Source organism: Homo sapiens, chromosome 4 (genome assembly GCF_000001405.40).
Source record: "Homo sapiens chromosome 4, GRCh38.p14 Primary Assembly".
Classification (NCBI taxonomy): domain Eukaryota; kingdom Metazoa; phylum Chordata; class Mammalia; order Primates; family Hominidae; genus Homo; species Homo sapiens.
In genome coordinates, this window is record NC_000004.12 from 6,624,052 (window position 1) to 6,640,667 (window position 16,616).

The 16,616-nt window shown below is 45.2% G+C and overlaps 1 long non-coding RNA gene across 1 annotated transcript, besides 1 other annotated feature; it reads right to left on the minus strand.

The window, feature by feature from the left end:
* Positions 1-7,101: 7,101 nt before the first annotated feature.
* Positions 7,102-16,570, minus strand: LOC124900653 (uncharacterized). Its single transcript, XR_007058007.1, has 2 exons — positions 16,469-16,570; positions 7,102-14,979 (listed from the first exon to the last, which is right to left on the minus strand). It is a non-coding gene; the product is annotated as an uncharacterized LOC124900653 (long non-coding RNA).
* Positions 14,834-15,628: an enhancer, noted in NCBI's record as "H3K4me1 hESC enhancer chr4:6640612-6641406 (GRCh37/hg19 assembly coordinates)". NCBI's record gives its function as "activates a minimal SCP1, AML or CMV promoter by ChIP-STARR-seq in naive and primed H9 embryonic stem cells {active_cell/tissue: H9 hESC(naive and primed)}" and the evidence as "EXISTENCE:reporter gene assay evidence [ECO:0000049][PMID:30033119]".
* Positions 16,571-16,616: the final 46 nt, after the last annotated feature.

Here is a 16,616-nt window from a genome sequence, read left to right on the forward strand (position 1 = left end):
TGAGTAGCTGGGACTACAAGCATGAGTCACTACACCCAACTAATTTTTAAAATGTTTGTGGAGACGCAGTCTCACTATGTTGCCCAAGCTGGTCTTGAACTCCTGAGCTCAAGCGATCCTCCCACCTAGGCCTCCCAAAGTGCTGGGATTACAGGCTCAAGCCACTGTGAATGGCCTGTTTTTTGTTGTTGTTGTTTGTTTTTTTTTTTTTTTTTTTTTTTTTTTTACAAACCACCACCACCAAACTCCCAATAAACTACGTTGCTCACTGACAATCCCCAACAGGTTTATTGCGGAACTTGACAGGATGATTCTGAAGTGCACTGGGGCTAGGTACAGTGGTTCGTGCCTGTAATCCCAGCACTTTGGGAGGCCAAGGTGGGTGGATCACTAGAGGCCAGGAGTTCGAGACCAGGCTGGCCAACATAGTGAAACCCCCTCTCTAAAAAAATACAAAAATTAGCCAGGCTTAGTGGCAGACGACTGTAATCCCAGCACTTTGGGAGGCCGAGGCGGGCTGATCACCTAAGGTCAGGAGTTCGAGACCAGCCTGACCAACATGGAGAAACCCCGTCTCTACTAAACATACAAAATTAGCCGGGCATGGTGGTGGGCACCTGTAATCCCAGCTACCCGGGAGGCTGAGGCAGGAGAATCTCTTGAACCCAGAAGGCGGAGATTGCGGTGAGCCGAGATCGTGCCACTGCGCTCCAGCCTGGGCGACAAGAGCGAAACTCTGTCTCAAAAAAAAAAAAACACACACACACACACACACACAAGTGCACATCTTCGTCCGTTTGGGCTGCTGTCATAGAATCCCGTACACTTTGGGAGGCCAAGGTGGGCGGATCACAAGGTCAGGAGATCGAGACCACAGTGAAACCCCGTCTCTACTAAAAATACAAAAAATTAGCCGGGCGTGGTGGCGGGCGGCCTGTAGTCCCAGCTACTCGGGAGGCTGAGGCAGAAGAATGGCGGGAACCCGGGAGGCGGAGCTTGCAGTGAACCGAGATTGTGCCACTGCACTCCAGCCTGGGTGACAGAGCGAGACTCCGTCTCAAAAAAAAAAAAGAATACCATACACTGAGTGGCTTATCAACAACAGGAATTTATTTCTCCCAATTCTGGATGCTGGGAGTCCAAGGTGCCAGCAGATTCGGTGTCTGGGGAGGGGCTGTTTCCTGGTCTATAGATGGTGCCGTCTTGCTCCGTCCTCACATGGCAGAAGGGGCAAGGCAGCTCTCTGGGCTCGGTTTCTAGGAGGGTGCTAATATAACAGTACTGAGTCTACCTTAAAGAAAAATTGTGTTTGCTTGAGTATAATTACAGCTTTGCTTACGCTTACACACTATTCATTAAAAACAGCCTCAGGGAAAGAGGACCTTCAGCAGAGATAAGAGAGAAGTGCACTGACCAGCAATCCTGGAAGCGGCTAGCCGCAGGTTTCCACCCACCAGATGAGAATAGTTGGGCTGAGGTCGAGGCAGGAGGATCACGTAAGTCCAAAAGTTTGAGACCAGCCTGGGCAAAATAGGGAGACCCCGTCTCTATAAATAGTAACAAAATTTAAGTAGGTGTGGCACACGCCTGTAGTCCCAGCTACTCAGGAGGCTGAGGTGGAAGGATCCCCTGAGCCAGTGAAGTCAAGGCTGCAATGAGCCATGCCTGGGCAACAGAGTGAGACTGTCCAAAAAAAAAGCAAAACTAAGACTAATCTGGCTGGCCTGGTGCAGCCAGCACTTTGGGAGGCTGAGGGGGAGAGATCATTTGAGCCCAGGAGTTGGAGACCAGCCTGGGCAACTTGGTAAAACCCAATCTCTAAAAAAAATTTTAAAATTAGCCAGGTGTGATGGTGCGTGCCTTTAGTCCCAGCTACTGTAGAGGGTGAGGTGGGAGGATCACCTGAACCTGGGGAGGTCAAGGCTACAGTAAGCCGTGATCATGCTACTGCACTCCAGCCTGGGCAACAGAATGAAACCCTGTTCCAAAAAAAAAAAAAAAAAAAAAAAAAAAAAAAATAGCTGCACTTGCAAAAGGTCACATGACATCCCCGCAAGACAGCAATCGTAACTACCTGCCTGAGACTGCGCACATAGCTGCTGTTCCACAAGAATGCTTTGATCATCATTCGCACTTCCCCAGATTTCCCTTAAAAACGTGCATCTGGAGACACAACTTGGAGAGGTGATCTTTGAACACAAGAGTTCAGTGCCCCTGCCCCCACCTCCCAAGCTGCTGGCTTCTCGAATAAAGCTACCTTTCCTTTTACCAAAACTTGTCTCTCGAATGTCGGCGAGTGAGTGGCCTGAACCCGAGTTCAGTTACACTAATCCCCATAACCTAATCACCTCCCAACATCCCCACCTCCTAATACCATCAACTGGGGGATTAGGGTTCGGTATATGAATTTAGGGGGACAAAAACATTCAGACCAGAGCAAACAAAGAGCTCAGAAGCTGGACCGCGCACACGGAAGCTGATAGAAGAGAGATGGGGCCGGGCGCGGTGGCTCACGCCTGTAATCCCAGCACTTTGGGAGGTCGAAGCGGGTGGATCATCTGAGGTCGGGAGTTCGGGACTAGCCTGACCAACACGGAGAAACCCCGTCTCTACTAAAAATACAAAATTAGCCAGGTGTGGTGGTGCATGCCTGTAATCCTAGCTACTCAGGAAGGCTGAGGCAGGAGAATCGCTTGAACCCGGGAGGCGGAGGTTGCGATGAGCCAAGATCGCGCCACTGCACTCTAGCCTGGGCAACAAGAGCGAAACTCGGTCTCAAAAAAAAAAAAGAGCGAGATGGGGTGCCACATGGTGAGGAAGAATGTTGCATGGCAGAGGTGCTGTGACAACTCCCCCTCACTTGGAACAAAAAGAAACTTCACCCTCCCTCGCATCGTACGCAGACAGCCCCCAGCTGAAACCCCAGCGGTCAATACAGGCGTGAAAAGATGGTCAGCCTCCTTAGCATTCAGGTCTGTGCAAATGAAAACCACAATAAGACACTGTTTCACATCTGCCGTGTTTTCTATTTAAAAGATTAAAAATATGGGCAATTTTTTAGTGGACAATCATGGAAACTCTCTCAGACTTCTAATGTGAGAGTAAACAGAAGGAGCAAACTTAAGAAACTAGTTCCATGTTATCTTCTAAAGTTAAAGATACTCATGCTCTAGACCCAGCAATTCTGTTCTAGGTATGTAAGCTAGAAAATGATGTTTGGCCAGGCGTGGTGGCTCACGCCTGTAATCCTAGCACTTTGGGAGGCCAAGGTGGGCAGATCACTTGAGGGAGGTCAGGAGTTTAAGACCAGCCTGGGCCAACATGGTGAAACCCCATCTCTACTAAAAAAAAAAAAAAAAAAAAAAAAAAAAAAGGCCGGGCGCCGTGGCTCATGCCTGTAATTCCAGCACTTTGGGAGGCTAAGGTGGGCGGATCACGAGGTCAGGAGATCGAGACCATCCTGGCTAACACGGTGAAACCCCGTCTCTACTAAAAATACAAAAAATTAGCCGGGTGTGGTGGCGGGCACCTGTAGTCCCAGCTACTCGGGAGGCTGAGGCAGGAGAATGGTGTGAACCCGGGAGGCGGAACTTGCAGTGAGCCGAGATCGCGCCACTGCACTCCAGCCTGGGCGAAAGAGCAAGACTCTGTCTCAAAAAATAAACAAATAAATAAATAAATAATAAAATAAAAAATTAGTTGGGTGTAATGGTGCATGCCTGTAGCCCCAGTTACTCGGGAGGCTGAGGCAAGAGAACTGCTTGAACCTGGGAGGCAGAGGTTGCAGTGAGCAGAGAGAACGCACCATGGCACTCCAGCTTGGGTGACAGAGTGAGACTCCATCTCAAAAAAAAAAAAAAGAAAAGAATCATGTTCGTGTGCACAAAAATATGTAAGACTGTTCAGTGGCATTGTTCATGATAGCTGTAAATGAAAACCATTCATAGGCCCCTTACCAGTGCTTGGATAGAGGCTGGTTTATTTGTACAAGAGAATACTACAGAACAGCAGGTCTCAAAGTGCGGTCCCCACACCAGTAGTGCCAGCATCACCTGGGGAGTTGTTAGAAACACAAAGTCTCAGGCCTTATCCCAGATCAAATAAATCAGAAACTGTAGGGATGGGCCCTGGAACATGTGTTTTAACAAATTTCCTGGGTTTTTCTGATGCACACTCAATTTTAACACTCACTGCCATAGAGCAATCAAAATGAGTGAACTATCCTTACCTGCATCAATACAGGTGAATCTCAGATAGAGAGACAGAGGTGATAGATGATAGATAGATAGATGATAGATAGATGTTAGATAGATGATAGATAGACTATATTGAGCAGAAGCAGCAATATACAAATGAATAACTATGATTCCATTTACATAAAGTTCAAAAGTGGGAAAGACTATACCGTATTCTTTATGATTGCATTCCTAGTGGATAAAACAACAAAGAAAGTGAAGAAATGACTGGCCAAGGCTGGGTACAGTGACTCTGTCCTGTAATTTTAGCACTTTGGGAGGCTAAGGTGGCAGATCACTTGAGCCCAGGAGTTCAAGACCAGCCTAAGCAACATGGCAAAACCCCATCTCTACAAAAAAAAAATAAACAACAGGTGGTGGTGGCACATGTCTGTAGTCCCAGCTACTCAGGAGGTTGAGGCAGGAGGATCGCTTGAGCCTGGGAGGTTGAGGCTGCAGTGAGCTGAGATCATGCCACTGCACTCCAGTCTGGGTGACAGAGAAAGACCCTGTTTCAAAAAAAAAAAAAGAAAAGAAAGAAGAGAAGCAAAGGGAGGGAAGGAGCAGGGAGGGGCTGAGAAGGGAGGGGAAGGGAGGGGAGGAAAGGGAAGGGAAGGGAAAGGAAAGGAAGTGAAGGGAAGGGAAGGGAAAGGAAACTAGAAGTCACAAGAGGGGTTACCTCCAGTGGGGCGAGGGAGATCTGAGTTAAGAAGGAACACACCTGGATTTCTAGGTGTGGCATGGTTTTATTTCCAGACTTAGTTGATTGTTAACAGTGAGTTTCTTTCATAGATGAAACTATATTGTATACACATATATATATATAAAATGTTTCTACTCAATTCTCTTATATATGATATACATGGTAAATGCACATGTATATAAGAGAATATAAACAATGTTATATATATGTTATTGTCACCAAAAAATATTAAAAAATTTAAAAGAAAAATGCAAAAATGTGAAATATATAAATGGAAAAAGATAAAACAAGTCCAAATTCACATCTTGTATCTAACAGCTCTTTTTATATAATCCAGACTGTACTTAGCTCAAACTGGCTTAAACAATACAAGGATGTTTTTGGTTGTGGCAGGGCTAGTTAGCTTTCTGCTGGCATCCATTCTTCCCCTCCATGATATAAATGACAGTTTTAGCTGAGAAGTGGCTTCCCAGACAGGGTCCACATTCCCCAGCTTTCCTTACATCCAAAGGAAGCATATGAATCCTTCTCACTAAGGTAATGAAAGAGAATGCCTCTGACCATTCCAACACCCCAGCTAAGACCCCAGACATGTGAGTGAGACCTTTTTGGGTTTTTCAGCCATTCCAGGTAGCAGCTCAACCCAGCAGAGTGAGTGACTCTAGGTGATAAACTATACATGAAGCAGAAGAACCAACCAGCTGAGGCCTGCCCGAACTCCTAACCCACAGAATTGTGACAAATGATTGTTATGGTGCTAAGTACCATAAGATTTGGGCCAGGTGTGGTGGCTCACACGTGTAATCCCAACACTTTGGGAGGCTAATGTGGGAGGATCACTTGAGCCCGGGAGTTCAAGACTAGCCTGGGCAACATGGTGGGACCTTGTCTCTTAAAAAAAAAAAAAAAAATTAGGCAGACATGGTGGTGCACACCTGTAGTCCCAGATGCTCAGGATGCTGAGGTGGGAGGATCACTTGAGCCTGGGAGTTCAAGGCTGCAGTGAGCCATGATCATGGCATTCCACTCCAGCCTGGGCAACAGACTTAGACCTGTCTCAAGAAAAAAATTTAGGGTGTCATGAACACAGCACTAGATAACTGAAATATATAACTTCTTTGTAAGTCATATTTATCATTACACAATGCTCCTCTTGTTTCGTATTTTAACCTTAAATTGTGCTTTATTCCTTAATTTTTATACATTCCTTGTCACTTCATTATAGGTGTGTTTCTTATATATAGCACATACCTTGATTTTAGGTTCTTTTTGTTTGTTTTTTTCGTGTTTTTTTTTTTTTTTTTTTTTTGAGACGGAGTCTCGCTCTGTTGTCCAGGCTGGAGTGCAGTGGCACCATCTCGGCTCATGGCAAGCTCCACCTCCAGGGTTCATGCCATTCTCCTGCCTCAGTCTCCCAAGTAGCTGGGACTAGAGGCACCTGCCACAACACCCGGCTAATTTTTGGTATTTTTAGTAGAGATGGGGTTTCACCATGTTAGCCAGGATGGTCTCGATCTCCTGACCTCGTGATCTGCCCGCCTCGGCCTCCCAAAGTGCTAGGATTACAGGCGTGAGCCACCGTGCCCAGCCATGATTGGATTTTATTAAATATTTGTTCCCTTTTCTATTTATAGTGCATTTTACTTCATTGTTTTCTCTCCTCATTTTCCCTTTTCTTTTCAATTTTCCAGAGTCCTATTTTATTCTCTTTTTTCTCCTCATTACTTTGAAAGTTCTACTAGTCTTTTCAATTTTTTTAGTAGTTTTGTTCTGGATTGTTTTAGGCATAATAATTACAAATAAGCCTCTATTTCCTTTCTGGAATAACAAAATAAAATAATCATCATCCTTCACCACCACAAAGATGGCTTTGTTGCCCACTCTCCTTCCTCTTTCTCCCATAGCAAGATAAAATCTTTGGACCATGTGTACATTCCCATTCTTCCCATCCATTTATAACTTCAGGCTTTGGTTTTGTCAAGCTATTCAAGTCTCTGGAGAAGCAGCAAACAGAAAGTGGAGGAAGCATGGCAGTTTAGACACTTCAGGCCCACAGCAAGCAAAGGGCAAAGGAGAGGAAGCCAGTCTGCTTATGACTTCCCTAGGGACGGACACCAGCTATTAGGCTCTTCAGGCTGATATAACAAATTACGCCAGACTGGATGGCTTAGACAACAAACATTTATTTCTCATAGTTCTTGAGCCCAGAAAGTCCAAGGGTAAGATGCTACCAGATCTGGAGGCTGGTGAGGACTGTCTTCCTGGTTTGCAAATGGCCATCTTTAAACTGAGTGGTTAATTTGATGAGATCTGCTTACCCTGCTTGCTTTGGGTCACTTGCTTTTTGTTATTTTTTCTTCCTTTTTCCATGAAGCTGAAGGCCACAGTAGCTGAAGTATGCATCACTGAATTCTAAAACTTAAACCTTTACTGACTACTGTATTTTTTATTTTACTTTTTAAGAAACAGGATCTCACTCTGTTGCCTAGGCTGGAGTGCAGTGGTATGTTCATAGCTCACTGAAGCCTCAAACTTCTGAGCTCAAGCAAACCTCCCACCTTGGTCCCCCAAAGTGCTGGGGTTACAGGCATGAGCCACTGCACCTGACCTTTACTGGCTACTTTATAGATAGCATTTATAGGTCACCATGGTAATGGTTACTTCAGTTATTTTTCAGGAACTTGGGCCAGCTCCTGTCATGTTCAAACCAGCTGAGACCACCAACTCTTCAACTGGGCCTGCGCAAGTGCCTGAGAGGTGGCCTTTGGACATCAGAGGGCCAAATACTCCACCCTCAGATCATGCTAACACCACCATTTTCTGTACATAGGTCCTATGAAATGTCATGAACCCTGACTACACTTGTGCAAAATGAATCTGTTACTTTATTTTTCCCCACTGCCAATCACCTTTCCCCAAGACTTAAACCACCCCACTTCTCTAACCCATAAATATCCCTAAGCCTTATTTTCAGAGAAGTGGATTTGAGAGCTGTTTTCCCACATCTTCACCTGGTGCCCTTGAGAATAAGTATCTTTTCTTTTGCAGAACCCATGTCATAGTGATTGATTTACTGCACATGGGCAGAACGGACCTGGACCTGGCCAGTAACAGTCTTCTTGTCGTAGCCTCACATGGCAGAAAGTAGAGAGTAAGACCTCTTGCATCTTTTCTTACAAGGCACTAATCCTGTGATAGGTACCCCACCCTCATGACCAAATCTAACCCTAATCACCACCCAAAGGCCTCATCTCCAAATACCATCTCATTAGTGGTTAGGATCTCAACATAAGAACTTGCAGGGGACACAAACATTCGGTCCATAGCACCAGGCTTCTCCCCATCTCAGGCGGTGGCACAGCTCAGCCTCTGCATCTGCTCCCAGGACCAGCAATGTTGAACAGGTGCCCCTAGTAGGGACAGGTGAGTCCCAAAATTGGGGCTGAGCCCAGGAGGGTTCTTGGCTTTACCCAGAAAAGAATTTCAGGGCAAGCCGGTGGTGTTAGCAACTTTTATTGAAGCGGCAGAGTACAGCAGCAGCAGAGGTATCACTCATTGGCAGAGCAGGGCTGCCCATAGCCAATGTGCCCAGAGTAGCAACTCAGAGGCAGTTCCACAGTCATATTTATACCTGCTTTTTTTTTTCCGGGCAGACTTTCACTCTGTCACCCAGGCTGGAATGCAGTGGCACAATCTCAGCTCAGTGCAACCTCCACCTCCTGAGTTCAAGCTATTCTCCTGCCTCAGCCTCCCCAGTAGCTGGAATTACAGGCACGTGTCACCACACCCAGCTAATTTTTGTTATTTTTAGTAGAGATGGGTTTTCGCCATGCTGGCCAGGCTGGTCTCAAACTCCTGACCTCAGGTGATCCGCCCGCCTCGGCCTCCCAAAGTGCTGGAATTACAAGTATGAGCCACCATGCCCGGCCTATACCCACTTTTAATTATGTGAAAATTAAGGGGGGAGATTATACAGAAATTTCTAGAAATAGGGTGGTAACTTCTGGGTCATAAGGCTGTTGTCATGGAAAGTGGCAGTAATGTCCGGGTGTTGTCAGTGGGCATGGATTCTGTAGAGGTGCTTTTACCTCTTCCCCTGTTTAGCTAGTCCTCAGACTGGTCTGATGTCTGAGCCCTGTCTCCAGAGTCCCGCCTCCTGCCGTCTCACTAGGACTACACATGTGCAGGCAGCTCTAATCCTTCCCTGGAGGCCGCCCAGGTGTCCAGGGGCTGTGCTGCCTCTGGGAATCATTAAAGGTCGCTCTGTGCCCAAAGCCTCTCACACTGGGCCCTCAGCATCACGTCCTCTCCCAAGAGGGAACAAAACAATCCCTTCTCTGCTCTACTCTGCAGAATTTACAGCTGAGCCATAGGACTGGGAGTTCCAATTCTTCCCCCATGTCGCCCTGCCTTTCATCACTTGGTCCAGGACAAACTGTTCTCCAATTTCCAGCCTGGGGAAAAGCAAGTTCTGCCTCATGGCAGCATTTACCAGCTGAAACGCCCTGGTTTTGTTTGCACCTGTGTTTGTTCTCAGGCTACAGCTAATGATGCCCTGGGGCTGCCCACAGTCAAACTGGTTTGCAAAATTGCATCTTTGACTTCAACAATTTCTAAAGAATCTCTAAATTTATAAATAATTCACTCAAGAGAAAGAAAAATGAATCCAGACAAACTCTGCAATGCACCAAAGAAATGGAATCTACATAGAGATTGCACTATAGGTGAATGAGGCAAAAACAGGAAGCTATTGCAACATTGGGGGAGGCGGGAGTTGGTGGATGTGCATAAAGTCCTGGTCCCAGCCTTACAGAATGCTCACTCTTCTCAAGCACACACACAGAGTGTGCTGCAATTGCCCAGGCCGAAATTTTTACAAATTTCAGAGAATCACTATCAAACCGAACTCCATCTCTAAGAAGAATACAATTAAGTTAGACATCAGTAATAGAAGAGCATAAACAGCTCTAATGTGGTTGAAATTTTTAAAACACAGTTTTGGGTTTTTTTTCTGGTTTTTGGTTTTTTGTTCATTTGAGACAGAGTTTCGCTCTTGTTGCCCAGGCTGGAGCGCAGTGGCACGATCTCGGCTCATTGCAACCTCCACCTCCTGGGTTCAAGCGATTCTCCTGCCTCAGCCTCCCAAGTAGCTGGGATGACAGGTGCCCATCACCACGCCTGGCTAATTTTTGTATTTTTAGTAGAGACAGAGTTTCGCCATGTTGGCCAAGCTGGCCTCAAACTCCTGTGATCTGCCTGCCTCGGCCTCCCAAAGTGCTGAGATGACGGGCATGATCCACTGCGCCTGGCCAAAGCACAGTTCTAATAATTTATGGATCAAGAAATCATAATTGGAATAAAAGTACACTTAGAACTAAATAATGAAAATGCCAATATCAAAAGCTGTGTGATGCAAGTAAAGTCATGCTTGATGGGAATTTAAGATCTTAAATGCTATGTTAGAAAAAAAAAACCCATTAATGAGTTGAGTTTCACCTAAGAAAATTTTTAAAAAGCACAGAATAAATCAAAGAAAGTAGAAAGGAGATAATAAAGATAAGAACAGAAATTAATGAAAGAGGCTGGGCATGGTGGCTCACTCCTGTAATCCCAACAATTTGGGAGGCCAAGGCAGGTGGATTGCTTGAGGTCAGGAGTTCAAGACCAGCCAGGCCAACATGGCAAAACCCCATCTCTACTAAAAATAAAAAAATTAGCTGGGTGTGGTGGTGGGTGCCTGTAATCCCAGCTACAGGAGGCTGAAGCAGAAGAACTGCTTGAACCCGGGAGGCAGAGGTTGCACTAAGCCGAGATCGCACCACCGCACTCCAACCTGGGCGACAGAGTGAAACTCTGTTTCAAAAAAAAAAGAAAAAGCAATTCGAAAGAAATAAATAAAAGAGAAAACAAAGAAACGCTAGCTCATCAGTCCCTGGATGCATGTTGTGCACCTGGCATTTCTGCCCTGCACAAGAACACCTGGAGGAGTGGGGCCCAATCTAACCTCACCCCAGGGAAGAGGTGCTGTTTTTGAACTCATCCACCTTTCGGGAGCCATTTGGTTTTTTGATGGGTTTATTTCCTCCCGTTTAAATAGCAGTTTAAAGCAGTTTTGGGTTCACAGCAGAAAGTATAGAGACCTCCCATACAACATCTGTTCCCCAACCTGCATACCCTCCCCTTCCCATCAACATCTCCCACACAGCGGTAAGTTTGTTGCAACTGATGCATCCACATTAATGCATCATAATCACCTGAAGTCCTTAGTTTACCTAAGTGCTCACTCTTGGTGCTGTACATTCTATGGGTTTGGATGAATGGATAACGACATGTGTCTACCATTATGGTATCATACAGAGTAGTTTCACCACTGCCGTAAAAATCCCGTGGCTCCCCCCATTCATCCCTCCCAATCCACTCAGATCTTTTTACCATCTCCAAAGTTTTACCTTTCCTAGAATGTCATACAGTTGGAAGTATACAATATGGAGTCTTTTCAGATTGACTTCACTTAAATAATATGCATTTTAGTTTCCTCCATGTCTTTTCATGGCTTGATGACACATTTCTTTTTAATGCTGATTAATATTCCACTGTCTGGATGTACCACAGTTTTTGTATCCATTCACCTATGGAAGGACATCTAGATTGCTTCCAAGTTTTGCCAACTACAGTTAAAGCTGGTAGACACGTCCACCTGCAGATTTCTGTGCGAGCCTAAGTTTCCAACTCATTTGGATAAATACCAAGGAATGTGATTGCTGGATCCTATTGTAAGAATATGGCTTAGTTTTGTAAGAAACTACCAAACTGTCTTCCAAAATGGCAGTATAATTTTGCATTCTCACGAGCAAGGAATAAAAGTTCCTGTTGATTCAAGTCCTCAACAGCATTTGGTGTTGTAGGTGTTCTGGATTTTGACTATTCTAATAGGTGCTTAGTAGTATCTCATTTTTGTTTGAGTCACTTATTTTTATTCATATAAAAAATGTATGAGCTAGCTGTCTCCGATATGTCAAGTGTGAACCCCAAATATCTAAGACATGCATCAGTCAATTAAGAAAGTTTATTATACGCAAATCAATAAATGTAATCCAGCATATAAACAGAACTAAAGACAAAAACCACATGATTATCTCAATAGATGCAGAAAAGGCCTTTGACAAAGTTCAACAACCCTTCATGCTAAAACTCGCAATAAATTCGGTATTGATGGGACGTATCTCAAAATAATAAGAGCTATCTATGACAAACCCACAGCCAATATCATAATGAATGGGCAAAAACTGGAAGCATTCCCTTTGAAAACTGGCACAAGACAGGGATGCCCTCTCTCACCACTCCTATTCAACATAGTGTTGGAAGTTCTGGCCAGGGCAATTAGGCAGGAGAAGGAAATAAAGGGTATTCAATTAGGAAAAGAGGAAGTCAAATTGTCCCTGTTTGCAGATGACATGATTGTATATCCAGAAAACCCCATTGTCTCAGCCCAAAATCTCCTTAAGCTGATAAGCAACTTCAGCAAAGTCTCAAGATACAAAATCAATGTACAAAAATCACAAGCATTCTTATACACCGATAACAGACAAACGGAGAGCCAAATCATGAGTGAACTCCCATTCACAATTGCTTCAAAGAGAATAAAATACTTAGGAATCCAACTTACAAGGGACGTGAAGGACCTCTTCAAGGAGAACTACAAACCACTGCTCAATGAAACAAAAGAGGATACAAACAAATGGAAGAACATTCCATGCTCATGGGTAGGAAGAATCAATATCGTGAAAATGGCCATACTGCCCAAGGTAATTTATACATTCAATGCCATCCCCATCAAGCTACCAATGACTTTCTTCACAGAATTGGAAAAAAACTACTTTAAAGTTCATATGGAACCAAAAAAGAGCCCGCATTGCCAAGTCAATCCTAAGCCAAAAGAACAAAGCTGGAGGCATCACGCTACCTGACTTCAAACTATACTACAAGGCTACAGTAACCAAAACAGCATGGTACTGGTACCAAAACAGAGATATAGATCAATGGAACAGAACAGAGCCCTCAAAAATAACGCCGCACATCTACAACTATCTGATCTTTGACAAACCTGAGAAAAACAAGCAATGGGGAAAGGATTCCCTATTTAATAAATGGTGCTGGGAAAACTGGCTAGCCATATGGAGAAAGCTGAAACTGGATCCCTTCCTTACACCTTACACAAAAATTAATTCAAGATGGATTAAAGACTTAAACGTTAGACCTAAAACCATAAAAACCCTAGAAGAAAACCTAGGCATTACCATTCAGGACATAGGCATGGGCAAGGACTTCATGTCTAAAACACCAAAAGCAATGGCAACTAAAGCCAAAATTGACAAATGGGATCTAATTAAACTAAAGAGCTTCTGCACAGCAAAAGAAACTACCATCAGAGTGAACAGGCAACCTACAAAATGGGAGAAAATTTTCGCAACCTACTCATCTGACAAAGGGCTAATATCCAGAATCTACAATGAACTCAAACACATTTATGAGAAAAAAACAAACAACCCCATCAAAAAGTGGGAGAAGGATATGAACAGACACTTCTCAAAAGAAGACATTTATGCAGCCAAAAGACACATGAAAAAATGCTCACCATCACTGGCCATCAGAGAAATGCAAATCAAAACCACAATGAGATACCATCTCACACCAGCTAGAATGGCAATCATTAAAAAGTCAGGAAACAACAGGTGCTGGAGAGGATGTGGAGAAATAGGAACACTTTTACACTGTTGGTGGGACTGTAAACTAGTTCAACCATTGTGAAAGTCAGTGTGGCGATTCCTCAGGGATCTAGAACTAGAAATACCATTTCACCCAGCCATCCCATTACTGGGTATATACCCAAAGGACTATAAATCATGCTGCTATAAAGACACATGCACACGTATGTTTATTGCGGCACTATTCACAATAGCAAAGACTTGGAACCAACCCAAATGTCCAACAATGATAGACAGGATTAAGAAAATGTGGCACATATACACCATGGAATACTATGCAGCCATAAAAAATGATGAGTTCATGTCCTTTGTAGGGACATGGATGAAATTGGAAATCATCATTCTCAGTAAACTATCGCAAGGACAAAAAACTAAACACCGCATGTTCTCACTCATAGATGGGAATTGAAAATGAGAACACATGGACACGGGAAGGGGAACATCACACTCTGGGGACTGTTGTGGGGTGGGGGGAGGGGGGAGGCATAGCATTAGGAGATATACCTAATGCTAAATGACGAGTTAATGGGTGTAGCACACCAGAATGGCACATGTATACATATGTAACTAACCAGCACATTGTGCACATGTACCCTAAAACTTAAAGTATAATAATAATAAAAAAAATGAAAGAAATGTGAAAAAAAAAAAGAAAGTTTATTTTGCCAAGGTTAAGGACACACACCCATGACATGGCCTCAGGAGGTCCTGATGACATGTGCCCAAGGTGGTTGGGGTACAGCTTAGTTTTATACATTTTAGGGAGACATGGGACATCAATCAATATATGTAAGATGTACATTGGTTTGGTCCAGACAGGCCAGACAACTTGAAGCAGGGCAGGGGCTTTCAGTTAATAGGTAGATAAGAGACAAACAGTTGCATTCTTTTGAGTTTCTGATTGGCCTTTCCAAAGGAGGCAGTCAGAGATGCATCTATCTCAGTGAGCAGATGGGTGGCTCCGAGTTCTGTCATTTGTCCACAAGGAATTTCCTTGTGAGGGAGGTAGGTAGCTTTTTAATCTTAGTAGCTATCTTTTTTAGGAATAGAATGGGAGGCAGGTTTGCCTGATGCAGTTCCCAGCTTGACTGTCCCCTTTGGTTTAGTGATTATGGGGTCCCAAGATTTATTTTCCTTTCACACAAGCCCCAAAGTTGGGTTTTTACAAGAGCAACCAAAATATTAAGAACCTGAGAAAAGTCAAAACAAAACATATACTTACGTTTCTCTGAATCCTTAATTCTGCTGTAGTCAAAACTGTGATGTGTCCCTTTACCTTGAAAATGGAAGCCAAATCCATGGGATTTATGTAAGCTGGATTTCTGAAAAGTTTATTGATGTTTGGGAATGGGACAACAAGCTAGGAAATTAACGTATCTCTCCTCATTCTGTGTTGAGTGGATGTTAAGGCAAATTTACCAATATGCGCCAAGCTCTGCCCAGGGCGTTAGGGCATTAAGGCCACAGAGCTAAGACCCCAAAGAGCCTAGGATCCAGTGGAAGGGCTCAGAGGCTCTGGACAGCGCCTTGCACCACACACTGAACATGGGTCTGCTGGGGCCTCAGGACGGAGCAGCCAGGCTCCACCTTGGGGTGTGGGGAGGCCGGTTTGGTGAAAAGACACCCAGACCCTTCTGACTGTCATCCAAGGAAGAAGGAAAACTACTCTTTAAAAAGGCAGAAAGGGCCAGGCGCACGGCTCATGCCTGTAATCTCTGCACTTTGGGAGGCCCGAAGTGGAAGGATCACTTGAGGCCAGAAGATCAAGGCTGCAGTGAGCCATGATCCCACCACTGGACTCCAGCCTGGGCGACAGACCGAGACCCTGCCTCAATAAAAAAAAAAAACTTTTTAAATAATAATAAGTAAATAAGGCCCGGCACGGTGGCTTACGCCTGTAATCCCAGCACTTTGGGAGGCCGAGGTGGATGGATCACGAGGTCAGGAGATCGAGACCATCCTGGCTAACACGGTGAAACCCCGTCTCTACTAAAAATACAAAAAATTAGCCGGGTGCGGTGGCAGGCGCCTGTAGTCCCAGCTACTCGCGAGGCTGAGGCAGGAGAATGGTGTGAACCCCGGAGGTGGAGTTTGCAGTGAGCCGAGATCGTGCCACTGCACTCCAGCCTGGGCGATAGAGCCAGACTCTGTCTCCAAAAAAAAAAAAAAAAAAAGTAAATAAAACGGCTGAGGGGACTCAGGTCCCCCTGCGTGAAAGGAAGGGGCTTTAAGCGTCCACCTGGGGTAGCTGCATTATCACGTAGGATCCTCCTCTTCTAGTGTGGAAGGCCCTTTTTAATTTTCATTTATATTTTATTTATTTATTTTGCGACGGAGTCTCACTCTGATGCACAGGCTGGAGAGCAGTGGCGCGATATGGGCTCACTGCAACCTCCGCCTCCCGTTTTCAAACGATTGTCTCAGCCTCCCAAGCAGCTGGGGTTACACGCGTGCAACACGACGCCCGGCTAATTTTTGTATTTTTGGTAGAGACGGGGTCTCGCCATGTCGGCCAGGCTGGTCTCGAATTCCTGACCTCAAGCCATCCACCCACCTCGCCTCCCAACGTGCTGAGATTACAGGCGTGAGCCACCGCGCCTGGGAAGTGCGGGAGGCCTTTTTAAAAAATGTAAACTCGCGTGCTCAAGAAGCCCTATCGGAGGGAAACACCCAGAAGAGGCCACCCTCCAAACACAGGGTAAAACAGGGGTGACGCACAGAGGTAACGGGAAAGCAGGAACGAGCGAGAGCGTGCGGTCCCGTACCTGCGCGTGCCTGCGTGCGCGTCCGTGCGGCCGCGACGCCGCCGCCGGTGCCTCTCTTTCTAGACGTGCGCGCGCCCGCAGCTCGCCCCCCTGACCGTAAAGAGGCCCGGCTGTGTCGTGAAAGGGGCCGCAACGCGCAGAGCGCTGG